The following is a 27,328-nucleotide window of genomic DNA, read 5'->3' as shown; positions in this document are numbered from 1 at the left end:
CAAAGCTAGTACATCCTCTGATACTTTTGCTAAAACTGGACAATGATATGAGGAAAGATGAGGAAAGAAAAGAGACCAAAAGTGGGAGGGAGAAAATGGCACAGAGAGTAGGAGACGAGGTATGAGTTTGCTGGATGATCAATATTTGAAAAACTCGTCCAAATAACTCAATATAACTCACATCTTGTACCTTCAATCTTCTTAAAAGAGTGGCTTCGATGACACTGTCAGTTATCCCCAAGCATGACCAGACTTCAAAGAGCCCAGAGGTTCAGAAAACTTATTTCTAGCTCCAAGAAGACAAACAACAAAACCTTCAAAGGAAAAATTAAACTACTTTGCATAAATAAATATATATTTGCACATATATATGCATTCATTAAATCTCTCCACCAAAACTTTAAATGATACTCTAGACTTGAAAATGTCACTTTCAAAGTCTCAAAGGGGATAAAGACAATGAAATGTAGGGGACTCCTAGCAAGTCTTCATGGCTGAAGCACAGGTTGCAGCCCAGAGAGAGGCAGGGAGTGTCGGTAACATCTCAAGTTCAGTCCTCCGAACGAAGATCCTGTGGGGACAGGGTTCTCCTGAAGGAATTTCAGCAGCTAGGTCATATGATCAGATTCTCATTTTAGGATGATCATCCCATGAAGGGAACTCAGAATGCCGGGACGGAGTTGATCATGGAAATAGGGAGATCATTTATAGGGTTGCTGCAAGAGTCAGTGATAAATAACACAATCCTAACCAAGGCAGCAACAGTGGAGCGGATTTGAATGTGTTGAGCAAACAGAGGTTGGGATAGTGGTGGCTAAGAAAGCAGGTGTTGTCCAGATTGCCTCCCAGAAAAACTAGGCAAACTATGCCATCGGTCATGAAAATGGGAAAGGCGGGGAAGTGTAGATTTGCTAGTGGGAAACATGATGAATTTCTTTATGGAGAGGAACCTGTATCCTGTGTCTCTTAAGTGTCATGCATTTGGAAACCAAGCTTTGGTTGAAATCTTGTATATTGAATTAAGTCACCCAAAGAGAACCTATCAAGATTCAAGACAAAAGACAGAATTTTACAGGATGCTATGCTTTATGGTCACTAAGGAAAGAAAAGCCTATGCAGGGTCCTAAAAAGAAGAAGCAAAAGAGCTAGCAAGAGAACCCAAGGAGGGAGAACAATGTCCTGGAATTAAACAAAATCAGAGACCAGCTCACGAATGAAGAAGCCAAAGGGGTGAGTTGCTATAGAGAAGTCAAGTGAGATGAGTAAAATCCCTTTCAGATGTGACAGAAGTTATTTAGCAAACATATTTTACTCTAGTAAGGATAGAAATGAATGGGGACAGGTCTGTCATTGGAGCGGTAAAAGAAAGATAGCAAGAGGAATCTGTTCTTTCAAGGATGAGAGAGAGTGTCTGCAAGAGAAAAAGTAAACTTGGCACACTTGGAACAGACCAGCCCATGTCTGTCGGCTGACGAGAAAGGACAGATAGAGAACTGGATAGATTCAAGCCATAAGAAAGGGGATAATATTAATATAATTAATAGATTATGGTAGTAGCAGAGATGGGAAGCCCAGAGCACAGGTATAAGGAGGAGGTTTGATTGAGAGGTGGAGTACTTCCTTCCCTGAGGCAGCAAGGAAAGCATTAAGTGGGGCATTAGATTTGCTTATAATTTGTGGGGTCATAACGTTGATGGCATCCAGTTCTGAGAGGCAGTTTGGATGTTTGGGGACAGTGTTGGCCCCTTGGGAAGGCTGATGTTATGATGAAAGAGGAAGCTGATGGTGGAAGAAAATTGCTAGGAAGAACTGCAAATGCAGCTGAGGTTCTCAGTCCTGGAGCTACAGGGGCACCGATCTGCACGGGGTTGTGAATTCCTAAGACAACACTCAGCTGCTTCCCTATGAAAGCAGGGAAAGGAGGAATCTGGACCATTCCAAGCAGGGTGAAAAATCTCTCTGTATTAAAGAACTCTGAAGTTAGAGCACCTGGGACTGTCACTTAAATCAGCACAGTGAGCTCCCATTATTCATTTGGAGGGAACAGGGGTTTAAACGCACAGAAACATTAGGTGGAAGCGCATACCCTGGAAGTAGAGTTTAGTTTGCCTTTACCCTGTGTAAATCCTCACTGCCAAATTTATACTTCTTTTTTTTTTAAAAAAAACCACTAAATAACTTTAGCAGAAGGGTCTTGCTTTTCGGCTTTGTAGCACTTGTTAAAGTACAAAGATTACTTTAAGGAAGGGTTGGAGAGATGGTTAAGGGGATGACCACTGGTGTCTCAATTATCCTGAGGGATGGGGTCTGGAAAACTGATGACTCAGACTTGGTTTGGTAAGTCGGCAAGCTCAGGAGTCTGGCTGTGAAGTCTCAGGGCAGTGGTGTGTCTCTGTGTGTGTGCGCGCACATACGTGTAAAACAGCCAACAAGGAAGTTTCTCTGAGACATATCCCTTTCGTTGGCTTAAGAGATTCTGCAGGAATCAATTAAATCCTGCATATTTTTCACCAGAGATGGAAATCTGGCAAGTAATACCTTCTAGGTTTCTTTTAGAAAAAAAGTAATATTCAGAGCTATGGTTTCATTTGCTGGGTTTCATTCATATCAGACTTTCCCTTTGAGGTAAACACCGTCTATGCTGGCTATTGGGCATTACGAGCCAAAGAAAGAATAGACTTTGGTTGCCAGCATTGCCCTAGCAAGCCTGAAGAAAATGCTGGAATGAAGGAGTTCCTGGTCATTAGTGCCCCCAAGAATGTAGCGTTCATTCAATGGCCTGTGGTGGCTTCTTTTTTCTCTTGAGGACAATTACCTTTGAATTTGATAAGATGGCACATGGCTAGGTTTCTTGAAGTTGTATTAAAATTTTACAGATGGCCTGTTTGTTCATGAGCTGCCTAGCTTCTCATTTCACTTTCTTGTTTGTTATCTACCTTAAAATCTGACAGCAAGATCTCATTCCATAGCATTTGAATTTGAAAGATGGGAGTAGTATCTTAGACTTACAGTCATAAAATTAACAGCATGAAGGGAACTTTGAGATCTTCTAGATGAGTGTTTCTCCATCATAGTGACAAGCCTAATGGTTGAGTCATGACTGAAAGAGCAAACCAGGAATCCACAAAAGAAAAGATACACATAGTTATATATAAATAAAGTTTTAAATGGTGCAAAAGAAACCATAAACAAAATTAAAATATAAATCATAAACTCAGAAAAATATTTTCAACTTGTATGACAGATAAAGGATTTATTCCTATAATAAAGAAAGAACTCTTAGAAACAGCCCAAAAGAAAAGTGAGCAAAGGGTATGAATAAGCTCTTTACAAAGAGAGAATCCAAAAAGTCAATAAACATATGAAAAGATGCTTAACTTCACTACAGATCAGAAAAATGGAAATTAAAGTAACAATGAAGTATAAAACCCATCAAACTGGTAAATATGAAAAAAAGTGGGAACCAATACTACTGGCTGGGATGTGGAGAAAGGCATCCCCTCACACATTGTTGGTGGATAGGAGAACAATCTGGAAATATCTATTCACACAAAAAGAACACACATTCCTTGACTGGCAACCTCAGCCTTTGGAATCTATTCCCTGGAAAATAAAGCAGGTCTTTAAAATGCTGGCAAAAAGATGTTAATTGCAGCATTATGGCTAGTGCCAAAAAAACTGCAGAGTGAGTTCTCAAAAGTAGTCATATCATAGGAGAATTTCAAGACCTTAAAGAGAATTAATAATACCAATATGAGTTGATTTGGCAGCTTTCTGTGCATTAAGTGGGAAAAAAAGCAAAATGTTGGAAAGTGTGCCTAATACAACACTATTTAGAAAAATAAAGACAAAACCATTATTTACACGCATGTATATATTTGTTCTTTTGTCTATGATTATGTTAACATGGAGAATGATTTATAAAAGAGTATATATCAGGTTTATAACACTGCTGATACTCAGGTGGAAAGAGGAGAAATGAGTGAAAAAAACTCACAAATAATATTATAATAAAACCTCTTCAGTGGTATAATTTGTGTAGCAATGTAGGAAAGAGTGGCCACTGACTGTTGATGGTTGATGAGATTTCAGACAACTTTAACTTTCTTATGCTATTTCATATTTCATTTTTACAATTAACAGAAGAAAAATGCATATTCCTGGGGTCCACATCACCCCAGTGAAACGGAATTCATGAAGATGAGGACTGGTTGTTTCACGCTCTCCAATGGGTTCTATGCATCTTACAGTGGTTTGTTAGCCAATGATCCAACACGAACTGTCAGTGGCATCTCTGAGAGATGATCTTCCAGTCCTTGGCTTGAATGCTTTCACTGCCTATCAGCATAGCCTTTTCCCTTTTGGGTCAGGTTATATCAATAGAACTTTATCTAGATAATGAGCTGAAATCTGTTTTTCATGGACCTCTGAAGTGGTAAGACAGCATTCAGATGCTTGGGGAAACCTGTCATCATCACCCCATGTTGTCTTCCTCTTGTGATAACCTCTCCAGAACACAGAGATTTGAGTATCTGATAGAAAATCAGATAAAGAGGTGACTAAAGAGGGTGACCATATTATCTATCATCTAAATTGGGATACATTTGAGAGTGAAAGGAGGCTTCAGTTGCATATAATATTGGGTCACCAGGTAACAGCACCCTATGACAAGTTGAATTTGCTCTCTATGGGATATACAGGTATCCATCTGATCATGTATTGAGCATGTTCCCTGCTTCTACCGGCTGCATGTGTGTGCCTGAAGAAAACCATCACACTGAAGAGTACAACAATCAAAGAGAAATAAGCCAGTGGCAATCTTTGAACACAAAGTAAACTCAGTTGCAATAAGTTGCTCTTCTTTGTGGCTCTAAGAGTGGTTATTAGTTTCCAGGGCACCACCATTCTAAAGAATACTTTCATTATTACCATCTTTTTATGTTCATGTGCATAACTTTCTATTTAAAGGTCAAGGAATGTTTTTCCCTCTTCTTTCTAACGACATAGGAGAATTAGCCACAACCTTAGGCTTCTGTAACACAGGCCCCATTGTCAATGATAAGAAGTTCAGGGCAGAGAACCCTGGGGAATAAACCACATGTTTATAAGGCTTTAAGCTGTGTGACTATACTGGCAGCTGTGGAGGACCTTTGCGAGACCACGGGACACAAAGTAAGCATCATTTAATGAAAAGTCTCCACCAAAGTGTGGATCCTTGCTGCATAGTAGAGAGTTGAGACACACCCATACACACCCCTACCCCCAAATATCTAATCCATTCTTTGTCAATTAGGGTGCAGATGACTTTGCATTCCGTCTCATTTGTTTCAACAGGCATCACGCTATACTCCGTTATATGGATAGAGCCAAGTAATGGGTGGAAATAAGGTTAGAAAAGATGTTTAGACCCCAGGGGGACATTGACATCACTACTTGATTGTTTCCATTCTAAAACTTGGTCAGATTCTGAAAAACAGCCAGTCACCAGCAACAACCAAGGTTTTTGTTTACACTTGCAAGAAGCTTCTGAGCACAGCAGTGTCACTTCTTGTACTCTCTGGCTGTCCGTTTTATGGTATAAATTAATGGCCTTCTTGGTTTGGCCGAGAATGCTGAATTCCTCTTCACAGAGTCACTTTTCCATAGCGAGACAGTCATTTTCAACACAACTTTACTCCTACGTTGGCAAGAAATAAAGCAAAGAACATGAAACTTTAGACGTTTGGAGAAGAATCTCATTTGGAGCTTTGGCCCCACCACCCATGGAGAGGAGATGTAATCAATACAGCAAGTGGGAAGCCAGGGCTGCTTTTGCAGACAGGCTTCTTTGAGAGTAACCAGTACGAGGGACTGAATGTGACAACGTGGGTTTCAGGCTTACCAGGTTCTCTTTTTTCTCTTCATGTCTCTGGAGTCTCTTTAGTTTGGGTTTATTGTGACCACCCGTCTTGCATTCCATGGACTAGTCCTCAAAGTCAGTAATTGGACTGTCATGTTCCAATATGCTGCTCCCTTTTATTTCAGCTTCACCCACTTGCATCATCTTCTCCCAACACGAGCCTCGCCCTGATGTCCATGCCCAGCCCTGGAACTCCAACACTCCCCTTCCACCATGGCACTCCCTGCTGGGATATCCTATGAGAATTTTGCAGCAGGTATAACCAGCACTCCTCTGTCTTGCCAACAGCCACCATGCTGGACCACATGTCTGCTCATTCTCCACTTGCCTTTTGTGGAGGCCCTTTCTCCAGGCCTTTTCTCACCAGCAGTGTGGTAGACCTTGAAGGGGTCTGAGCACTGCTCTTTCCCACCCACCAGTCCTTCCTCCCATCCCACTCTACCCCATAGATCACTTCTTATTTTTAGTTACAACTTTTAAAAGACGCTTCCTTTTGCCACCAAGAAATCTAACCTGTGACTTGTTTCTGCTCAGATGTTTGACACAATTTGTTGCAGAAAATTGTATTAAGACAGAAGAACTGAACTGAGGTCTTTGGATTTTTGGAATAATTTAATCGAGAATATTACTCCTTCAATATATATTTCAAAAAGTACCTCTACTTTCAGCCTTGCTGCTTCTTGACACTCAATAGGCTTTGAGGTGGTGAAGAAATATAGGCTAATTTTCACATGGGAGCAAAGAAATGGGATAATCACTAAAGTATTCAAAATCAGATAGAAGTGATTTTTTTGAAATAAATTTTCTGTTTAAAGATTTGTGCCACTATTCTTTCCTGTTGCCTAAAAACACAAAGTTGACTCTGCTAAATCTTTAGCCTCTGTAATAAACATTATTTTCCTGTTTGGCTGGAAATGAAATGAGGTGAACTAACCATATTAGTAGTCATAACTGTGGGATATTCAGCAACATGGTCAATGTGCCTGATATGTTTAATGTGAACAAAAAAGTTCTCTTTACAAAGTCTGCATATTGTACATCTCCGCCTTAAGTTTTTGGACATATTTATCTCTCCCTCTCCACTTACCATTGTCTTTAGCAATACTTGGGCAAGTTTCTATTTATCCAAAGTAAGAAAGTTACTAGGACTTTGACAAGCAAAAGAAGGCAAAAGAGACTATCCCTTTAATTATTCATTTTCTTCCTCAGCAAAGTGTTTGTGGACAAGTGACTAACTTTCAGAACATTAGGTGTTTAAGATAGAAATACAGGACTTGGTTCTTGCCCTGAAGAAGCTCACCGTTTTTCAGTTTGCAGTATATGCTTAAATTCTCTTTTATGAACCAACACAGGGCAAGTCCCATCTCTTCAGGTACTTTTTCTATTTACTTTCACTACAGTAGGCCCTAGGTAGTTTCTGACAGGTCAGTATGAGAGAATTACAGTTTTATGGTGATAGGCCAAGTTCAAGAATGAAAGAAAGCCCTTGGGAGATGCTCATCTGCCCTCTGAGTCCAGGCACAGTTCTTTTGCTCCCCCACTTTGTGCATGAGTATTTCAAACCTTTCCTGCTCTGATAGAACTCCTTCAACATGTTCCCAAACTAAAGCCTGCCAAGGTCTTCTCCAGCCTCCATTTTGTCCTTCCTGTTATGGCAGATGAGAGCATGTCTTGTTTTATCTAAGGTCATTTACTCTCTGCTTAGATACTATCAATAACGTCTGCTCTGTCCTGTTCATCCCACTGCCCTTCTCAACTGGATTATTTCCATTGGTATTAAACATGCTCAGAAGTTTCTCATACTAATGACTTAATTAATGAATTCTCCCTTGGCTGAAATTGTGGGCTACACTTTGTCACCTCCCACACACTCCTTAACTCACCCTAATCTGGCGTTAGCCCCAATACTGGTGAGACAGCTCTTGCTAAGGACATCTGTGGCATCTATGCTCCTAATTTTGATACATTTAATATAATTCTTCAATATGATTCACTATAAATTCCAAGATAATTGTTTCAATTTACTTAACATAAAGAAAATTTCTCCAAGCAATTCATTTTTGTGTCTAGTTTAAAATGTCAAGTTGTGCTACAAAGCACCACCCATTTATTCAGCATTTATAAGGCATGGACTCAATGCTTTCCAGCTTCCACTGAGACTGCGTGCAAGGCTAGCATCATCTCGATCCCCGATCATTTGCGTGTGATCTGTGTTTCCTATTCTTCTTCCTTCTGCCCTGCCACCCTTTCCCCATTTCTAGAATCTTTACAATCTTCTTGTAGTCCCTGGTGTTTTAAACTTTCCCAGGTCTTAGTGTGGCTCTGTTTTCTTTTGCTGGACACTTTCTGGTTCTTCAAATTTACAGATGCATGTTTGGTTTCTAGCCATTTTTCTTATAGTATTTTTTAATGATTTTCTTCTTTCTTTTTTCTATATTCTTTCTTTTTGAAATTCTTTTTATTGAGATAATACAGATTTGGATGTTTTTCTTTTTAAAAATCTTCTAATTTCTATCTTTTGTTCTAATTTCTCAAAGAGTTTCTCAATTTTATATTGTATACTTCCTTTGGGTATTTTTTAATGTCTACCATCACATGTTTAAGTTCCAAGAGCTGTTTTTTGTTTTCTGAATCTTCTTTTCTTTCTTTTAAAAAATAAATCCCATTCTTGTTTCATGAGTTCAGTATCTTGTATGATATTGATTAGTGTTTTTAAAAAGTTTTTTATTTTGCAATTTATCAACAAGTTTCATTCTTTTTGGCTTCAGATATCTTAAAAAGTTCTATCTAATTTATCTTTATGATCCCAGCTAGCACCCCAGTCCAAGCCACCACTGCCTCTCACCTGGACCTCCAGTATCATTATCAAGACATCTCTGCCTTGGTCCATCCAGGCCTGCTCTAACAAAGCACAATAGACTGGTCGGCTTATAAACAACAGAAATTTATTTCTCACAGTTCTGGAGGCTGGAAAGTCCAAGACAAAGACACAGCAGATTCAGTGGCTGGTGAGGGCCCCTCTCTTGGTTCATAGAGGGCTGTCTTCTGGCTGAGCCCTTACATCATGGAAATGGTGAGGAGCTCTCTGGGGCCTCTTTTGTAAGGGAATTAATACCTTCCATGATGGTTCCACTATCTTGGCCTAATAACCTCCCAAAACCCCACCTGCAAATCCCATCGCATTGGGCATTAGGTTTCAACCATGAATTTGGGGAGGACACAGAGACTCAGTCTATAGCAATCTCTTTATTGTGCCTCCCATTGACCCTTTATACCACAGCAGAGTGATCTTTTCTCAAGGCAAATATGGTGTTCCCAACTTCCTGTGTCAAATCCTTAGATAGTTTTTCTTATAAGGCCTTGAAATGCCCCCATCCTATACTACTGTTGTCTATTCTTTATTTCATCTGTAGCTATATACGTATAAGAATATACACATATATTACATATAAATATTTACTTATTATATTATATATAAGTATAAATATATATATATATTTCCAGTTTCTTAGATTTGCCATTCTGTCTCTTCCATATAAGATTCTTTTTCACATACCCGTCTTTCTTTTTCTGGAAAGTTCTTTCCACATACATATACATACACCCCCACACACTTTGTCATATGTGAAACTTTACTAACTTTTTAGACTTCAACTCATTTGTTCCTCCATGGAGATGTGTCTTAACACTCCACACTGAAGGAGGCTGCTTATTATGTACATAGGGCCATATTCTTTCTCTGGGACAGTTACTTCAGTCTATTATTCTGTATTAACTAATGTGCTTAGTTTTCCCCCAGTAGCTGTAAACCCCTTGAAGACAAGGTCATGCCTGTACTAGCATCCCATTATATCCCCACACTTAATGAATGAGTGAATTCTTGGGTCTCATAGATTATCTTAGTTGTCTACTAAATATCTGTCGATGTCTTGATTTTTAGTAACAGAAATTCAACTTTATTTGGATAGTAAATATGCCCAAATAAAATATCACTTCCCCAGCCTGGGCAACATCATGAGACCCTATCTCTACAACAAAATTTAAAAAATTAGCTGGGCACGGCCAGGCATGGTGGCTCACACCTGTAATCCCAGCACTTTGGGAGGCCAAGGTGGAACCAGGTCAGGAGTTCGAAAACCAGCCTGTACAACACAGCAAAACCGTGTCTCTAATAAAAATAAAAAAATTAGCCAGATGGTAGTGGCACGAGCCTGTAATTCCAGCTACTCAGGAGGCTGAGGGAGGAGAATCGCTTGAACCCGGGGGGCGGAGGTTGCAGTGAGCCGAGATCACGCCACTGCACTCCAGCCTGGGTGACAGGGTGAGACTCCGTCTCAAACAAACAAACAAAAAATTAACTGGGCACAATGATATGCACCTGTAGTCCTAGCTACCTGGGAGGCTGAGGTGGGAGGATGGCTTGAGCTCAGGAGTTTGTGGCTGCAGTGAGCTATAATCATGGGTGACAGAGTGAGAACCTGTCTAAAAAAAGAGAATCACTTCCTAAAGTCCAGTGAGGCAAGGGTGTCCATCTCACACAGATTTGGCTAAACAGACATAAGCTAATATCTGATGGGGTCCTGGGAAAGCTATTGCTTTCTTGAAAAAAGTCACCTATTCCTTGTTTTGTCTCATTTTCAGCACTGATATGGAGATGGGTATGAAGCAATTATCATGCAAAAGTGGGCCAGCAGAATGCGGATGAAAACCATGTGCCAAGGACAAGGGGGCAGGATGACAGAGGGAGCTGGGGCGGTGGGGGGGGGGTTCCTGGTGACATCATAAGGCTGCTGCTCCAGTCCTGGAACGCTGACCTCCAGATGGCTTGTTTTGCGAGAACAGCATCTATGTGGTCAAATCACTCTCATCAAGTTTTGTGCCACAGAGATGAACCCAATTACTACCTGTCCAAGCCTATCCTGCCATAGCTCATGATTAAATTCATGTATAAAGAGACTTGTGTAAACTTAACGTTATATTCCTTTGAACAAATTTAGAGTATGGGGACCTGAATTGTGTGGGCTTTGGCCAAAGACTGAATTTGGTGAGAGATGCATGGTCCAGCTGCCAGGGTCCACCCTGGCCCTGCTGCTCGGTGGCCTTTGCTGCTAACTCTGTGATTATGCATGATGGTTTGATTAACTCGGACTGGCACCTGAGTTTCCATCCTCGGAACACTGACCTCATTACTTCCGTCTGAACCTTTGCTGAGTTGATCTCCCACACTAGTTTCCTCAAGGGATACTTACTGATGGCCAACTATGTAACAGACACTCAGCTAGCTCCTAGTTGTCATTGTGGATAACATATTTCTGACCTTCAGATTTTTTGCAGCTACCTTAACATGAGTGTATGTTAAAATGAGTTTATCAGCCTCTTGGCAGGGCAGCTGATAATGTTAAAACAGTTAAATAAATGAAATCTGTCTGCTTTTCCTATAGATTCTCCATCAAAGAATAGGTACTCACAGTGGCCTCGGCTCCTGAAGGTAGTCAGGGTAGACTAATTGCTGTGATAAATCAACAACTTCATATCGCAATGCTTAGCTCAATAACAGGTTCGGTCTTTGCTCATGTCACAACCCAGTTGTGTATCCCAAGAGTGATCTCCCATATGGCCAACAAAGGGGCTTCCTCTTCATGGTTCCATGATCCCAGGGGCACCTAGGAGTCTCCATAGGATCCTTTGCACCTGTCAGGAAAATGATGAGGGAAGCCCGTATGTGGAATGTCCTAGATGAGGCTTGGAAGTGTTTTATATCACTTTTGCCTGTACTTCATTGACTAAAATTTGCTCACATTGCCCCATTTAGTGGTAACGTGGGCTGGGGAATAAAGCCCAGCTATGAGCTTAGGAGGAAAATGAAACAGTTTGGCAAATGTGTAACATTGTCTTTGCCACATTCTCAAAACATACTTGGAAATATTTGTCTCTATGTCTTTGCTTACATTATTTTCTCAGCACAGACTGTCTTTAGCCTTGATTTCCACTGGCCAAATTTACCTGTTTTCCAGAAACAACTGAATGGGCCACTTCCATCAGAGTCTTCTTAATAATGTAGTCACCCCATCAGCTACAGGGAAACCACAGCTTCAGTCTGTCCTAAAGATGTGTGCAATCTGGTTGAGAAAAACAGGTGCACATAAAACATTTTAAATAATAATTTAAGGCAACACTCTCTTATGACTGCAGCTGAAAGGCACAGATAATAAGTTTAGGTATCAACTCTGACGTCTCCATCACAAACTTTTTTGCTTTTAAATGATATATATTTAGGTATTTATTTATTTAGAGACAGGATCTTGCTCTGTTATTCAGGCTGGAGTGTGGTGGCCCAACCATAGTCCACTGCAGCCTTGAACTCCTGGGATCGAGTGACCCTTTTCAACTATTTTGCTTTAATTTTTTGTAGAGATGGGGTCTCACTATGTTTCCCAGGCTGGTCTTGAACTCCTGGCCTCAAGCAATCCTCCCACCTCAGTCTCCCAAAGTGCTGAGATTATTGGCATGGGCCACTGTGCCAGCCTAGGCATTTATTAAATGTTTAATTTTTGGTCTACCCCTAGTAGATCATAGGATGGTGAACTTATTGAGGACAGAGATCATGCCTAGTTTGCTCAACAACATGCTCCTAATGCCTGAACACAAAGGGGGCACTCAGTATATATTTGATGAGGCAATGAATCATTGTTTTAATTAATTAATGGAAGAGTTGTTCAGAAAAGGGAGATGTAATTAGGAAAAAATAATGAAAGAGTAGGGCTTCAGCATAAAGGGCACGACACTTTTTGTAGAAGAGAACAAGGATGTCTATCTGTTTAGAACTTTAAGACTAGACTCACACATCTATTAAGTCAGTGGTTCTAAGTAAATATGCTATTTGAAAAAGGCAGTCATGTTCCAATGAGTGAATGGATTTTCACTAAAGAAGATATTTGTGTACAGTTAATATAGTGCATGTTTTAAGGCAAGTATAATGTTTTCAAATAGTTATTCCTGTAGTTTGAGGAGATATTGAATACAGTGTTGTGGGAAATACTGTTAGGGTACAAAGATAAATAAAGCATAGAGCCGCTCAAAGATCTCTTTCCCTTCCTCTCTCTTTCTCTTTCCCTTACTCTCTCTTTCTCTTTGTTCTTCCTCTTTCTCTTTTCTTTCTCTCCTTAAAAAAGATCTGGCTGTTTGACTCATTGATTCCTAATCAAATTATCAGCCTCATCTCATTTCAAGGATTTGTGAGACTTACCTACATTTCAATTCACTTCAACATATCTTTTCTTTTAGTGGCTACATTGTACATGGCATTGTGGGAAATACTATGAGTATAAAGATGAATACTACATAGAGTTTCTCTCAATGTTCTCTCTCTCTTTCTCACTTCATCTTAATTGTTCAATCATAGGCATTTAATCAAGCCTCTGTCACGTTCCATAAGCTGTGCTAGGTTCTGGAGATATCAAAGTCAATGACATACTCCCTGCTCCCAAGGAAATCAGAGCCTGGTTGAAGGAGAGTGGATTTGTCAAGCAGAGTGAGATAAGTACAATGGCAGAGCCTAGGGAAGGGTGTCTTGGGAACAGAGAAAGGCAGGACTAGGCTGGGGTGGGAAAGACAATAGGGAATAGCTCCCTAGAGGAAGCAGTCACTGATCTAATGTCAAGGTTAAGTGGATGGGTTCTAGAGTTCATCCACTGGAACTTGAATAAGGGCTCCATCATTTACTATCTGTCTGATCTCAGCCATGTTAGTTAACTTTTTTGTGCTGTTTTCTTTCAGTAAATTCAGAACAATAATATTAAACTCAACAATTATGAAGGTTAAATAAGATGTGTGTCACATAATGATTTGCATCCAGTAAGCATTCATTAAATGCTACCTATTATTATCATTATTATCATTGGGTAAGAAGAGAAAGCCTGGATAAAAATTGTACAAAACACCATTTCAGTTTAAGGGAATGACATGTGAGGAAGCAGAGAAGCATGTGAGGAAGCTCTAGGGAGCTTCAGCCAGACAGTTCGGAGTGCACTGTGGGGCTGGAGGAAGGGCTGTACCTTAAGGGCCCTGGAAGCCGAAGGAGGCTTCTGACATCAGCCTGCAGGAGCCTCTCTTTTTGCAAGGGTGTGATGTGAACAGATTTCCACCTAGAAAGGCCACTTTGATAACAAGGGGTGAGACAAAAAATGGTCGGGACATAGATGCTTTTTCTGTGCGCCCTTCTCCAGCCCTCTCTATCCAGGGGAATTGCCTAAGTCACCCTGAAGCTCCCCTCTGCTGAATCCAAAGAAAGGCTTTCCTGTTTTGCTTTGCTGAACATACTCGCGGTCCCCCCTCCTTCCCACCACTCCCTGTGAGGAGGGTCTGATTCTGTGACTTCTGCACTCCTGCTCTCGCGGAGTTCCCCTCACTGTCTAACCAGCCCTTTCTGGACTCTTCTATAGATTTAAATGCCCTTCTTAAGGGCTTTCAATCATTGGCTCGCTTCAGAATGACCCACTTGGATAGATTGAGGGGTGAGAACAAAGACATGGAGAGTAATTGAGAGATCACTGTGAACATGCACTGTGTCATAATGAGGCATTAATGAGCAGCAAAGGAGGCTGATTTAAGAGTTGTTACAGAAATAGAATCAAGAGGTCTTGAGATGATTGGCTGTGAGAATGACAGACTCCAGGCTTGGGTCATAAGGTCATAGGGTGATGATCATTGAGTGACTGCCAAGGCATCATTAAGAGTTAGGAGTAACAAGAGCAACAGAGCTGGGTTTTTGTTTGCATATGTGTATGTGTTTTTATTACACTTATTTTGGTTGTTTGGCTTGAGAGGCAATGAGATCAGTTTGAGTTGTTAAACTGCAGTATCTTGTGTAACATCCATTTAGAGATATCATGCAGGAAGTTGCAACTATAAACCCAGAGAGAGAGAGAAGGAAGGGAGGATGGAGGAGAGAGAGATACAGAAACATACAGAGAGACAGAAAGAGAGGGAGAAGGGAGGAGAGAGAGAGAAAAAGAGAGAGAGAGCAACAGAGAGAGAAGAGAAAGAAGCAGAGAGAGAAACAATGAGAGGGAAAGAGAAAGAAATATACAGAGACAAGGAAACACAGAGAGAGAGAAAGAGGGAGGGAGCTGAGTTAGAAAAAAAGTCTGGGGAGACAGCAGTGGGTAGGTGGGAGTTGAAGTCACGGTGGGCATAAAGGGGGTTCCCTTAGGAGCACTGAGGGCTACAGATGAAGCCTGAGGAGTATTCGTTTTCAGGCAGAGTTTGTCGAAGTGTGGCCCTCAGGTCACCAGCACCACAATCAACTGGAGTGCTTGTTTAAAAAAGCAAGTTCCTGGGCAAACCTCCAAAATTGTGTAGGAGTATTTATTCTTTCCAAATATACATCTGACTGTATATATAATGCTTAGCCCCAAATCTATCGAGTCTGAGGAGTGAGCGGGAAGCTGCACATTTCACAAGCACTCAGGTGATTCTGAAGTTTGTGGATGATTGAACACCCTTTGTGGGGGAATTCAGATCCATAGAACGGACCACAAAGGAGTGGCTAGACAGTGAGAGGAACACTAGGAGAGCAGGAGTACAGAAGTCAGAGTCAGACCCTCCTCACAGGGAATGGTGGGAAGGAGAAGGGGCTGTGAGGACTTCCAGCAAGGTGAGACAGGAAAGCCTTCCTTTGGATTCAGGAGGAGGGAGCTTCAGTGTGACTTGGGCAATGCAGATTCCACTGGGTAGAGAGTGCTGGGGGAAGAAGGCGCAGAAAAAGCAGCTATGTCCTGACCATTTCAAGAATCATGACTGAAAGAAAGGGCAAGAGTAAGAGTAGCCAGGGGAGGGAAAAGTTGAGATAAATGACTTTTGTTGCTTCTCAATGAAAGGAGGTGAGGAACAAAGGGTTTGAGCAAAGTCCCAAGAAGTTTGAAGCTTGAGAATGCCCAGTGCAGGAAAGGAGGGTTAGGCTGCATGGAGAAACAAGGTCTTTCATAAAGACACAAAGTGAAGAGGGAAGGATGAGTGTCAGCAAGAGGCTGGGGAGCGGGATGCGGCAAGAAGAGGAGCAATTTCCTCTCATCTTCTGAAACTTTTCCCGGAAGGGTTTCATATCCAAGACTCAAATGAGACAAGAAAGTGAAGATGTGGCAGCAATTCTTGCTAATTATTGCTATGTAAAGCAGGTTTCTTGTTGCTCCTAGACCTGAGCTACAAGGCCAGTAGAAATAAGGGAAAGCCTGCACTTGGCTCATCCCTGAAGTAGGACGTGTTTTACTGAGAATGCTCCATTTTATTACTGACTCTGTGCATGGCCCAGAGTAAAAGGGAAAACAATAGAACAGTCTTAACGGGGTGCACCGGTGGCAGGCACCAGAAGCCATGCATCCAGCTCACTCTTTTGTTCATCACAGGGCCCTGAAGTGGTTAACAGAGCTTCCAATAGTGCCTTGCTTCTAACTTGGGAATAGCTTTTACTCCAGGAGATTCTGACGCAAGGGTAAGTTCATGGAACATGTTGGTTTTCATACCACTTCAAATGGAGCCTAAATCAGCTGTCAGATATTTACAGGCAATTTTCCTTATTGCACAAAACTCTCTGTAATTATTATCCTTGGGCAGTGCTTGAATTTATTTGCACATAAGCATGTCAAGGTGGGGGAAAGGCTCCCTAAGCTGTGCCAGGAATATGTCAAAGCGCCCCAGTATTACTTAAGATTGGATGGGATGAAATGTTTGGCTCCTCTGCAGAGCTTGTCATCACCCTTGCTCAGGTATCTAGGCTTACCATTTTCTCTCTACAGACTTCCCTTTATACACCCCATGCTGAAAAGGCAGAATTCTGCCTGTGCTATTTAATAACCACCATGAGGTCTTGCGACTGACTCTTGGGACTTTTTTCAAGGGACTCTGGCAAGTTCTGTGTTCAGGTGACAGGAATGCAAAATGAAATGAACTGAAAAAGACACCTCCCAATCCAAACATGGGTGACCAGGGACACCAGACAGATGACTAAGAGTCACAGAAAATATGCCTCTTTAAAAGCGCTGTGAGAGTCCACTTGGAGGTCTTGGCAAATGAGTTAAATGGAAACAAAATATAAAAATGTTTGCGACAGCTCATCTTTTGTTTTGTGAATTGTGAAACAGGCTAGCAAAAGGGAAGGTATGTTTACCAACCCATTCTGTGTTGAATTCATGTTTTTAGAGAGTAAAATTAATACATTTGAAGATGATTTGTGTACAGGATACAGGACAGCATAATGTAGTGGGAAAAGAGGCCTAGATGTATAGCAGGGCAGACTACGGTTACCATCTTGGCTCTGCCACCCACTAGCTATGTGACTTTGAGCAAGTTTCTTAACTTCTGAATCTTAGCTTCTTCATCTAAAAATTGGAAAGTAATATACCCAACTCATCGGTGGTTGTGAGGATTATGAGAAAATATAAGTATCCTAACTAAAAGTGAACTAGTACAGTGGCTGGCTTAATGCAGTCAACTCAATATGTGATGCGAGGGTGGCAGTCCCGTGTATCGTGCTGGTTAAGAGCGCATGTTCCCTGCTCTTATGGCCACGGCCGGTCCACACAGAGTAGCTTTGCCAGCCTTCTAATCTTTAAAATTGGAAAAATAGAGTGTTTGTAAGAATCCAATGAGACGATACTTATAAAAGTACTTAGTACAGTATCCAGTAACTTAGTCCACAGCTCCTATTCAATAACTGTTAGCTCTTCTCTCTCTCTCTTTTTTTTTTTTTTTTTTTTTTCTGAGACGGAGTCTTGCTCTGTCGCCCGGGCTGGAGAGCAGTGGCACGATCTCGGCTCACTGCAAGCTCCACCTCCCAGGTTACGCCATTCTCCTGCCTCAGGCTCCCGAGGAGATGGGACTACAGGCGCCCGCCACCACTCCCAGCTAATTTTTTTTTTTTTTTTTTTTTTTTTTGTATTTTTAGTACAGACGGGGTTTCACCGTGTTAGCCAGGGTGGTCTCCATCTCCTGACCTCGTGATCCGCCCGCCTCAGCCTCCCAAAGTGCTGGGATTACAGGCTTGAGCCACTGCGCCCGGCCAACTGTTAGCTCTTCTTACATGGGGGCACCGCCCTCTAGTTTTTCCCTCACACCATAGCTGTCAGGAACTCCATCCATTTCACCGGCTCAGGGCACGCTGAGGCCTTTCATCCAGCTCATCTCGCTATTCCCACCTATCACAGGGCCTACCTCGCTGGGGTTTAATGGGTCCTTAATAAAATCTTGTTGAATAGTGAATGAATAAATACATAAAGTGCTTGTCGCTTAGGAGATAGTAACATAAGTGCTTTCTCCTTTCTGACATCAGCTTCCCTTTCACTGATTTGAATGGCAGAAAATACCATCTCAGCTTGTCATACTGTATATTTTTGGAGAAAGGAAAAATGAACCATTTCCATGAACAGTGAAAGAGTTTAGTGAAAGAGAATTTAAAACCAACAATCTGGTCGATTCTAAGGGTATAAATTAAGCTAGTTAAGCAGTCTTAACCCAGGATATTGGCAAGACAACTATCAGGCTCTGGCAGTTATATATCTTCATTCTTCTCTAAGGTTAGGGCATAAAATTTTAACCCAAAACGTCAGAGGTTAAAAAAAACATGGTAACAACAAAATAATTCTAAATAGTTCAGTGTGGATTGGAACCAAAGAATCAGGGCAATGACTGTCAGCCACATCTAGGTCCTATATTGCTAACAGATGGTGAACATTTTCATGGGCTTGGGACTAGTTTAGATCAGAGTGAGAATCCTCCACCCCCTCCCCCCACGAGGCTCTAATTAGTACATAGGACATTAGAGCAAGTTAAAAATCTGGGCTGACATCTTATTTGTTAGTTTTAGATTGAACTCATGCCTTAGGGTGACTGAATTTGCTCACTGAAACACACACATGTGCTCACACACACTAAAAGAGTAACTTTTTCTTTTCTATGGGGATCAAAATAAAGATTTTCAAAGTCCTCGAGAAAAGGGCTCCAAAGATTTGTTGGATATCAAATAGCTCCTTCAAGACAACATTTTGATGAGTTAAGTGTAAATGAATCAGAAACATATGGATTAAGTTTCCCTTGAAATACACAGGGGCTTAAAAATCAAAGAGGAAACAGTGCCTGGCCCAGGGTCTTGCAGGTTGTGCCAAACCCAACACATTTGAGCAGCAGTTCAAGATATTTGAGGGATCCAAGGACGAGGCTGGCCTGACCCACGCCTAGTTCCTACCGTATTGAAATAGAGAACATAAGTAATGCCATTTATATTGCATTATTACTAAAAATTCCTCCTTCCTTGTGGTTTGAAGATTAACTAAACTGAGACTTACAAAAGAAAACCCTATCAATGGTGTCTGCAGCACAGAAAGCTCTCCAAAGGTTAAATGAACAAGTTCAAAATGTTCTCAGACAGCGTAGTTGTTATTGTCTGACAATGCAACAGAACTTGGGCAACGGCACAGCCCCAAGACTGTTTAAAAGTGGCGTAACTTTAGACTTGCTCTTCAGAAGTTCTTCATGATATTGCCAGAAACATACATTGAAATATAGAATAATTATTTCTTAAGATAAGTCATACATTAATTAGCATTTCCAATCACCCCTCTTATTTGCTATAGATAATGGATTTTAAAAACTTCTAATTGGTTAATCAGTAAATTGACTATGTAGGAAACTTACATTTGAATCTCATCACAGGAGACACAAGCCTCAAATAGATTTGAACAGTTAAATACATAAATGCTAAGTCTAATTTTAATTAAGTAGCTTTTATAATTAGCCTGCTTTTATCACTTGTGACAAATAATTAATCTTGGCATAACCTACTTTGAAGATTTACCAATCTGGTGTTGACCAGCCACATAACTAAATCCAGAAGTAAGCAAAGGAATATTGATTTATGGATCAACTTGGAAATTAGAAACACAGTTTATTTTATTATATTTACATTATTTTTTATATTTATATTACATTAATTTATAATTTTTGTATTATTATATGCAGGGTTTGTTTTAAATGTGTAAAGTTTATGATAAGTAATACATGTCAAGAGAAAACCTTTAAAACACAGAGAATGCAAAATATTGGGTGCAGGGGAAATGTCACCAGGAATCATGCCATCAAGAAATAACAACTTTAAACATTATGGTGTCTTTGTCTATTGACAAACTATATGTATTAGAAATACTCCTGAGTGCTCTGAGTTTTTCAGTTAATACATTGCAAGCATATGTCCAAGTCATTAAACATATTTCTTACCACATCACTGATAATAGCATGAAATTTCATAGATCTATTCTAAATTATTTAACCAGCTACCAGCTGTTAGGTGGTTCCCAATATTTAGTTAACAAACTGAGATGAACATGTTTTATGGCTAGTTGTGATTTTTGCCTTATGATAAGTTCCTAGAGATGGAATTTCTGGGTAAAAGTGTTTGGATGTTTTCAGTTTTTGTTCATCATAAAGGCAAAAAAGCATATCTCCTTGATTTAATATGCTGCTTCTTGACACTAGTGGATTTAAATGTGAATACTGTTTATTAGGTCCTTATATATCTTCTTTTGTGATTTACTTGTACATGGCTTATGTTTATCTTTCAATTGGTGTGTTTCCTTCTAATTGATTGGTAGACATCTTTTATATTTTAAGATATTAATACTTTGTCACATAGCTTACAGTATTGTTTTTGATATATAGAGACATTTAATATTATTTAAATCTATCCACCAGTCTTTTCATTCTGTATCCAATTTTGTGTTCATGTTTAATAGACTTTCCAAACTGAAAATTATATAAATATTTTGTTATACACTTGTCAGTTCTTTAACGCTTTTTTATATTTAACTTTAAAAAATCATTTGTTATCTCTGTCTTAGTGAATAGTACATTGAGGATACATTTTAAATTGATGAATTTGGCAAATACTTGTCAATATGTTTGGCATTTTGTTAGGCCCTGGGTATACATTAATAACTCCTGAAGCTCAGTAGGTGTTGTGGACAGACTCAATGAAAGTAGCCCCATGAACCCCACCTCCTGTGGTTCATGCCTTTTTGCAATCCTGTTCCCTTAAGTGTGGTGGAACATGTGACTTATTTCTAAACAATAGCATATGGCAAAGATGACATGCTGTTATTCCCATGACTACATTATTTTACGTTATTTAAGACTCTGGCATGACACCAGACTTATCTGAGACTCTTGCTGGCCTGGTGAAAGGAGAAGCCATGCTGGAGAAACTCATGTATCAGTGAACTTCAGGCACCTCTAGTTGCTGGGGCAGCCTCCAGTAGATAAACAGCAACAAGCTACCCTCAATCATAAAGCTGCAAGAAAATGAATTCTGCCAACAACTTGAGTGTGCTTGGAAGAGAATTATTCCCCAGTTGAGCCTCTAGATGAGAACAAAGCCCAAAAAAACCTCGATTGAAACTTTCTAAGACTTTGACAGAGGATCCAGCTAAACTGTGTTCAGACTTGCTCAAAGCCATAGAATGCACAACATCAAGAGTGAACACTAATGTAAGCTATGGATTTGGGTGATAATGATGTGTCAGTGTAGGTTCATTGTACCAGATGTACCACTCTGGTGGGGTATATTGACAGTGGAGGACACTGTGGGTATGTGGGGGAAGAAGGTATATGAGAACTCTCTGTACTTTCCATTCAATTTTGCTGTGAACGTAGAACTGCTTTAATAATAAAGTATATTAAAAATGGCAAGAGAATAATAATTTATATACTTTTTTTATTTACTCAGAAGTACTTCTGAAAATAGACCAAAGAAAAAAGTGACATACGCTATTTTGAGGAAAAACAAGTGATAGCTGCTTGATCTTTCAACTTTGTATAATTTATTTAAAAATTAATTTTCCTTAGATTTATTTTCTTACTTCTACTTCCTGTCCATTCTTAAAAAAAAATAAGTGGAGTCTCACTGTTTCTCTCTGTCACCCAGGCTGGAGTGCAATGGTGTGATCACAGCCCACCGCAGCCTTTAACTCCTGGCCTCAAGCTATCTTCCCTCTTCAGCCTCCTGAGTAGATAGGACTACAGGCAGACGTCAGCAAACCAGGCTAATATTTTTTATTTTTTTTAGAGACAATGTCTCACTATATTGCCCAGACTGGTCTCAAATGCCTGGCCTCAAGCGATCCTCCTGACTCAGCCTCTTGTATTGTTAAGTTTTAAGAGTCCTTTGTATACTTTGGATAAGAGTTATTTATCAGATACGTCTTTGCAAATATTTTCTCCCAGTCTGTGGCTTGTCTTCACATTCTTTTGAGTGTCTTTTGCAGAGCAGAAGTCCCTAATTTTAATAAAGTCCAGCTTATCAATTATTTCTTTCATGGATCATGCCATCGATGTCATATCTAAAAAGTATCACCCATACTCAAAGTTATCTTAGTTTTCTCCTAATTTACCTTCTAGGAGATTATGGTTTTGCATTATTACATTTAGGTCCATTATCTATTTTGAGTTAATTTTAGGAAGGATGTAAGTCCTTGTCTAGAGTCTTTTTTTCCATGTGATTGTGCAGTTGTCCCAGCACTATTTGTTGAAAAGTCAATTTTTGCTCTATTGTATTGACTTTACTCTCTTGTCAAAGATCAATTGACTATATGTACATAGGTCTATTTCTAGGCGCTCTACTCTGTTCTCTGTTCCATTGAAAGGTTTGTTTATTCTTTTACAAATAGCCCACTGGCTTCATTGCTGTAGCTTTATATTAAGTCTTGAAGTTGGGTAGTGTCAGTTCCTGACATTATTTTTCTCCTTCAATATTGCATTGGCTATTCTGGGTCTTTTGCCTCTCGATATAACTTCATGTCAATGCCCACAAAATAACTTGCTGGGATTTTGATTGAGATTGCGTTGAATCTATAGATCAAGTTGGAAAGAAACAACATCGTGATAACATTGAGTCTTTCTATCCATGAACATGGAATATCTTTGCATTTACTTAGTTCTTTGATTTCTTTTATCAGAATTTTTTAGTTTTCCTTGTATAGATATTATGCATATTTTGTCAGATGTATACCTAAATATTTCATTTTTTAGCACTAAGGGTAAATCTTTTCCTAAACGTTGTAGTCTTTGTTAAGGTAGATAAACTTCAGGAATATTATTAAGTGAGGAAAAGACCAAACCCTAGATATTCTGGAGAAAGATTTTTGACATTTATATGTATGACAAATATATGGTATATATATGTGTATACGTGTGTGTGTGTGTGTGTCTCCAGAGAGAGAGACAGTTTGGTCTCTAGATTTTTAATTGTCTCCCACTTACGGCTTCTACAACCAAGGTTATAGGATTATAATATTTACAGTGTTACAATATGTTTTATTATATTTCACAGAGGAAATTGTATCCTATTCTAACAACATTCATTTCTGATTCTTTTTAGAGAGATCTTGGCTACTTTAGCATATTTATTTTTCCAGTTCAACTTCAAATCTTTTTGTCAAGACCCACCCTGCCCCCAAGCATCTCTTTGGGACTTTCACTTCAATTTTGTTAAATTTATTAAGTAACTTGGGAAGAATTGACATCTTTACAATACTAAGCCTTCCCTTCAAGGAGTGTGGTATAAATTTCTAGTTCTTCAAATATATTTTTATGTCTCTCATTAAATTTCTGTAAATATGCCATGTTCAGGCACATTTCTTCATAAATCCCTAGATACTTTATACTTTTTTTTTTTACAGTTGCCAAGAGGGTCTTATAGACAAAGTTATACACAGACACACAAAAACACATTCACACATATAAATACATTATTGTTGCTGGTATATAAGAAAGCTATTAGTTTTCACTTGTTTATTTGTAATGCAAGGCTATAATAAATTCTCATTCATTCTTATAGGATTTTAGACTAATATATGGTTGTATATTAGTAAAATATTTTTATGCAAATATTTTTATCTCTATCCTATTCCTTTACCTAATTCCTATTTTTTTCTGTCTCATCAACTTCACTTAAGCTCTTAGAAAATAAGAAAACAGAAGTGTTCATAAAGGGGATACTTTTGATATTCCTAATTTTAGTGGGGTATTTACTTTTGACCATTTCATATAAGATTGACTCCTAGGCAGGTTTGAGATAAGTATTATTCGTCATGTTTGGAAAATATTCTTCTCATTAAGTTTTATTTTTTGTGTTTGTTTTGTGCCCTCCTTTAAATAAAAAATGGATACTGAATTGTATTAAATATCTTTTGAAGCACATTAATAAGAATGATAATTACAATGGCCATCCTTCACTGTGGGAAGACGATTGTCTCTCTCCTTTCTTCTTTGTTTTCTTCCCTGTGGTGTGCTGGCCTAAGTCACTGTCCTAGCCACACACCGTGTGTTCTAGGCCTGTTCAACCTCAGGCATTGTGAGCAAATGCTTTCTTTCTTATCATGCCTCAATTTATTTTTTGATACTAGAAAAAATGGTCTTTAAATTGTTATTTCCCAGAACATAGAAAAAATTCTCTTACGTTTGCAAGACAACCAGAGAGAGACCCAAAAACAACCTCTAAAATATTGGTCCCCTATGTGGACTTTGGATGAAAATGTTTAATGATCAGCATTAGGGGCAACAAAACAAGGCTAAACTAAAGAAAGAGAAATTTTCCTATCTCTATTATTATTATTCCAGGACTTGTGAACTCATCTCTGTCATCCCCATCTTTTCCTCCTTTCATCTCCAGTTGATAATCTGACAAGACAGAGAACAAAACCTCTATTTGTCTATTTTTATTATATAGAGAAAATAATATCTGTGTTGGTGGGGTGGGGGCAAATAGTCAGAGCTATTGGATGTCTATGTGATAACTGCATTAAAAATGCCAAGCAAATCTTGGCCTCTCTTTCACTTCCTGGTTTCTTATGTTTAGGTGGGTCAATTGGTTGAGAGATTCTCTCTGTCTTTGTTCATTTGTCTCTTTCTTCCCCATGTCTTTCTCTCAGCACAGAGAAGAAGTTACACTTTTGCACTGTGATGAATCCAGTACTTGAGTCCCAAATTTTACAAGAAATAACTCTATTCAATAATAATGTTTAGTAATAGTGCTTTTACCATTTATTCCTGCTATGGTTCCCTCAAGAAAGACTCTAGGAATGAGTAGGTGCATGATTTATGGGAAATGATACATCTAATGTTTTTGCTTTCATTGTTATTTTTTCCAAGTAAAATCTGCTTTATACAGTAACACTATTGTGCAACCTCTGCTTTATTTAGTTTATACTTTCCAGGTTTTGAGATTTCTTAAGTCTTGCTTTTCATTTTTCTGAGATTTTTTGCTTATGGGTCACTTTTGAGCATAGCATAGAGTATATGTTGTCTCTCTCTCTCTCTCTCTCTCTCTGTGTGTGTGTGTGTGTGTGTGTGTGTGTGTGTGTATCTTTTGATAGGGAAGTTTAACCTACTTGCATTTATTCTCATAGCTGATTAGCTTGGTTGTCTGTCACCTTATTTTAGGCTCTGGTTTTAATATTTTTTCCCCCTTACTGTCTCCCATGAGGTCCATGTTTAGCTATAGTGGGAGAGCAGAAATATTATGGACAACTCATTGCACTCTATCAGGTGGTTCACAATTTCTATTTTCCTTATTACTGATTATCTTTACTCATTTGACTGAGGTGTTATTATTCAGCCTTCTCCACAGTAAAGTTGCACTTTTTCCATTTGTATTTAAGAAGTATTTTGTAGAGAAATACTTTGAAATTCTGTATAGATCATATTCTTCATAAAACTTTTTAAATATTTCTGTCAACTAATCATTTTCCATATCATTCCATGGATTATAATCTATTAACACTGTTATTTATTTTAATGCTCAAATTGCCCCCTCAATTAGGCAGTGGGAGTTCCTTTAAAATGGCACCTGCATCGTTTTGCTGTATCACCATAATTTCTTGCACAGTAAAATGCTCAATATTTACCTTGTATTTTTCCTGCTCCAGTCCTGAATCAGCCACTTCTCCAAGAAACCCTTTTAGTGGAGAATGGTATTTAGAAACCAAAATCTGGGTGCCAGGTGTGCTCATTACTATTGAGGTATTGCTGCTTTCCAGCATTCTCATTGGACAGAGCTAGCAAATATATGTAAACACACATACACACAAGCGCACACACATTTTTAAAGGTCAGAATCCGATGGCAATGCCAGCATCCAGGTGTCCACCCACTGCATGCAACAGAAGGACTTTGGCAGAATTACTTTGGGAGGGCAGGAGGCAGGAGAGAAGCCAGTAACTTTCCTTGGCATAGTGAGGAATATTCCTTGAAACAGAGCCAGCTTGATTTGGGAAGTAACTGTTCTGGGAGCCTTGAAGTCTGAAAAGGTGAATCTGGAATCCATTTAGAGTGTCTGTGGCATTGAAAAATGTGATTAGTGATGTGGAGAGCCAGGTTGAGAAACAGAATGTTGAGCAAAGGAAAATAATCAGAAAAAAAATGTTGACCGCTTAAAAGTAAAGGCAACAGAGATCCATTGAAGAACAAACCATATGAAGTAGAACAGAAATAATACAGAGAGGCATAAAAGCACACTATTTTGTCCTAAAAAAGATCTGAATTTGGGTACTTAAAGAAGTCCAGGGCTATCCGCAAAACAGTAAATATAGACCAATGCATACAAATAAAATTTTCAACTACCAGTACTACAACTACTATGATTACTGCTAGCTGTACATATACATTTCTGAATATACGTGTTACTCTCTGATACCAACACCCGCCTTAGGCCTTTAGACTAGGGAATGTTCCTGGCGTTTATTATCTCCTCTGTTGTTTTCTTATGAAGTCACATTGTTTTCTTGGCTTTCTGGGGAGAAATTTTGTAGGAGCCCTGGGTGTCCTTTTAAAACTTGATTTCATCTGTAAAACATCTAGTGGAAATTCTTGGACTTTTCCATCATTTGCAAGGCAATCTTTCCTAATTTATAACACTAGGACAAGTTTTATAATGATGATGATGATGATTTTGCTTTTCCTTCATTGTAAAAGTTATTTGGTAAATTCCCTCTTTTGAAATTGGAAAGGAAGGGGTCAAATATCTCCTCTCATGCCACTAAATTTTGCAGACATCTATTTGATCTTTGTACATTTCCTTTTATTATTATTATTATTATTATACTTTAAGTTCTAGGGTACATGTGCACAACGTGCAGGTTTGTTACATATGTATATATGTGCCATGTTGGTGTGCTGCACCCATTAACTCGTCATTTGTCATTTACATTAGGTATATTTCCTAATGCTATCCCTCCCCACTCCCCTCACCCCACAACGTTTCCTTTTAACTACTCTGATAAGATGAAGAAAATGTCACAGCCAAGACAGGAAAGTAGATTAATGTAAAGTTAGCTTCTCCTGTAATATCTTTCTCTCAGAATGAATTGGCACAGACCGTTGACCACTCAG

General features: G+C 39.3%; 1 long non-coding RNA gene across 1 annotated transcript in view; it reads right to left on the bottom strand.

Annotated features, from left to right (window-relative positions):
- Positions 1–10,633: 10,633 nt before the first annotated feature.
- LOC107986787 (uncharacterized) overlaps positions 10,634–27,328 on the bottom strand; it is a 30,270-nt gene continuing 13,575 nt past the window's right edge. The window contains exons 3-5 of the long non-coding RNA XR_001745183.2: positions 11,903–12,018; positions 11,368–11,590; positions 10,634–10,744 (exon numbers count right to left, since the gene is read on the bottom strand). This is a non-coding gene — a long non-coding RNA (uncharacterized LOC107986787). The remainder of the gene's footprint in view (positions 10,745–11,367; positions 11,591–11,902; positions 12,019–27,328) is intronic.

This window comes from Homo sapiens, chromosome 7 (genome assembly GCF_000001405.40).
Source record: "Homo sapiens chromosome 7, GRCh38.p14 Primary Assembly".
Lineage (NCBI taxonomy): Eukaryota > Metazoa > Chordata > Mammalia > Primates > Hominidae > Homo > Homo sapiens.
This window is presented reverse-complemented; position numbering and strand designations above follow the sequence as displayed.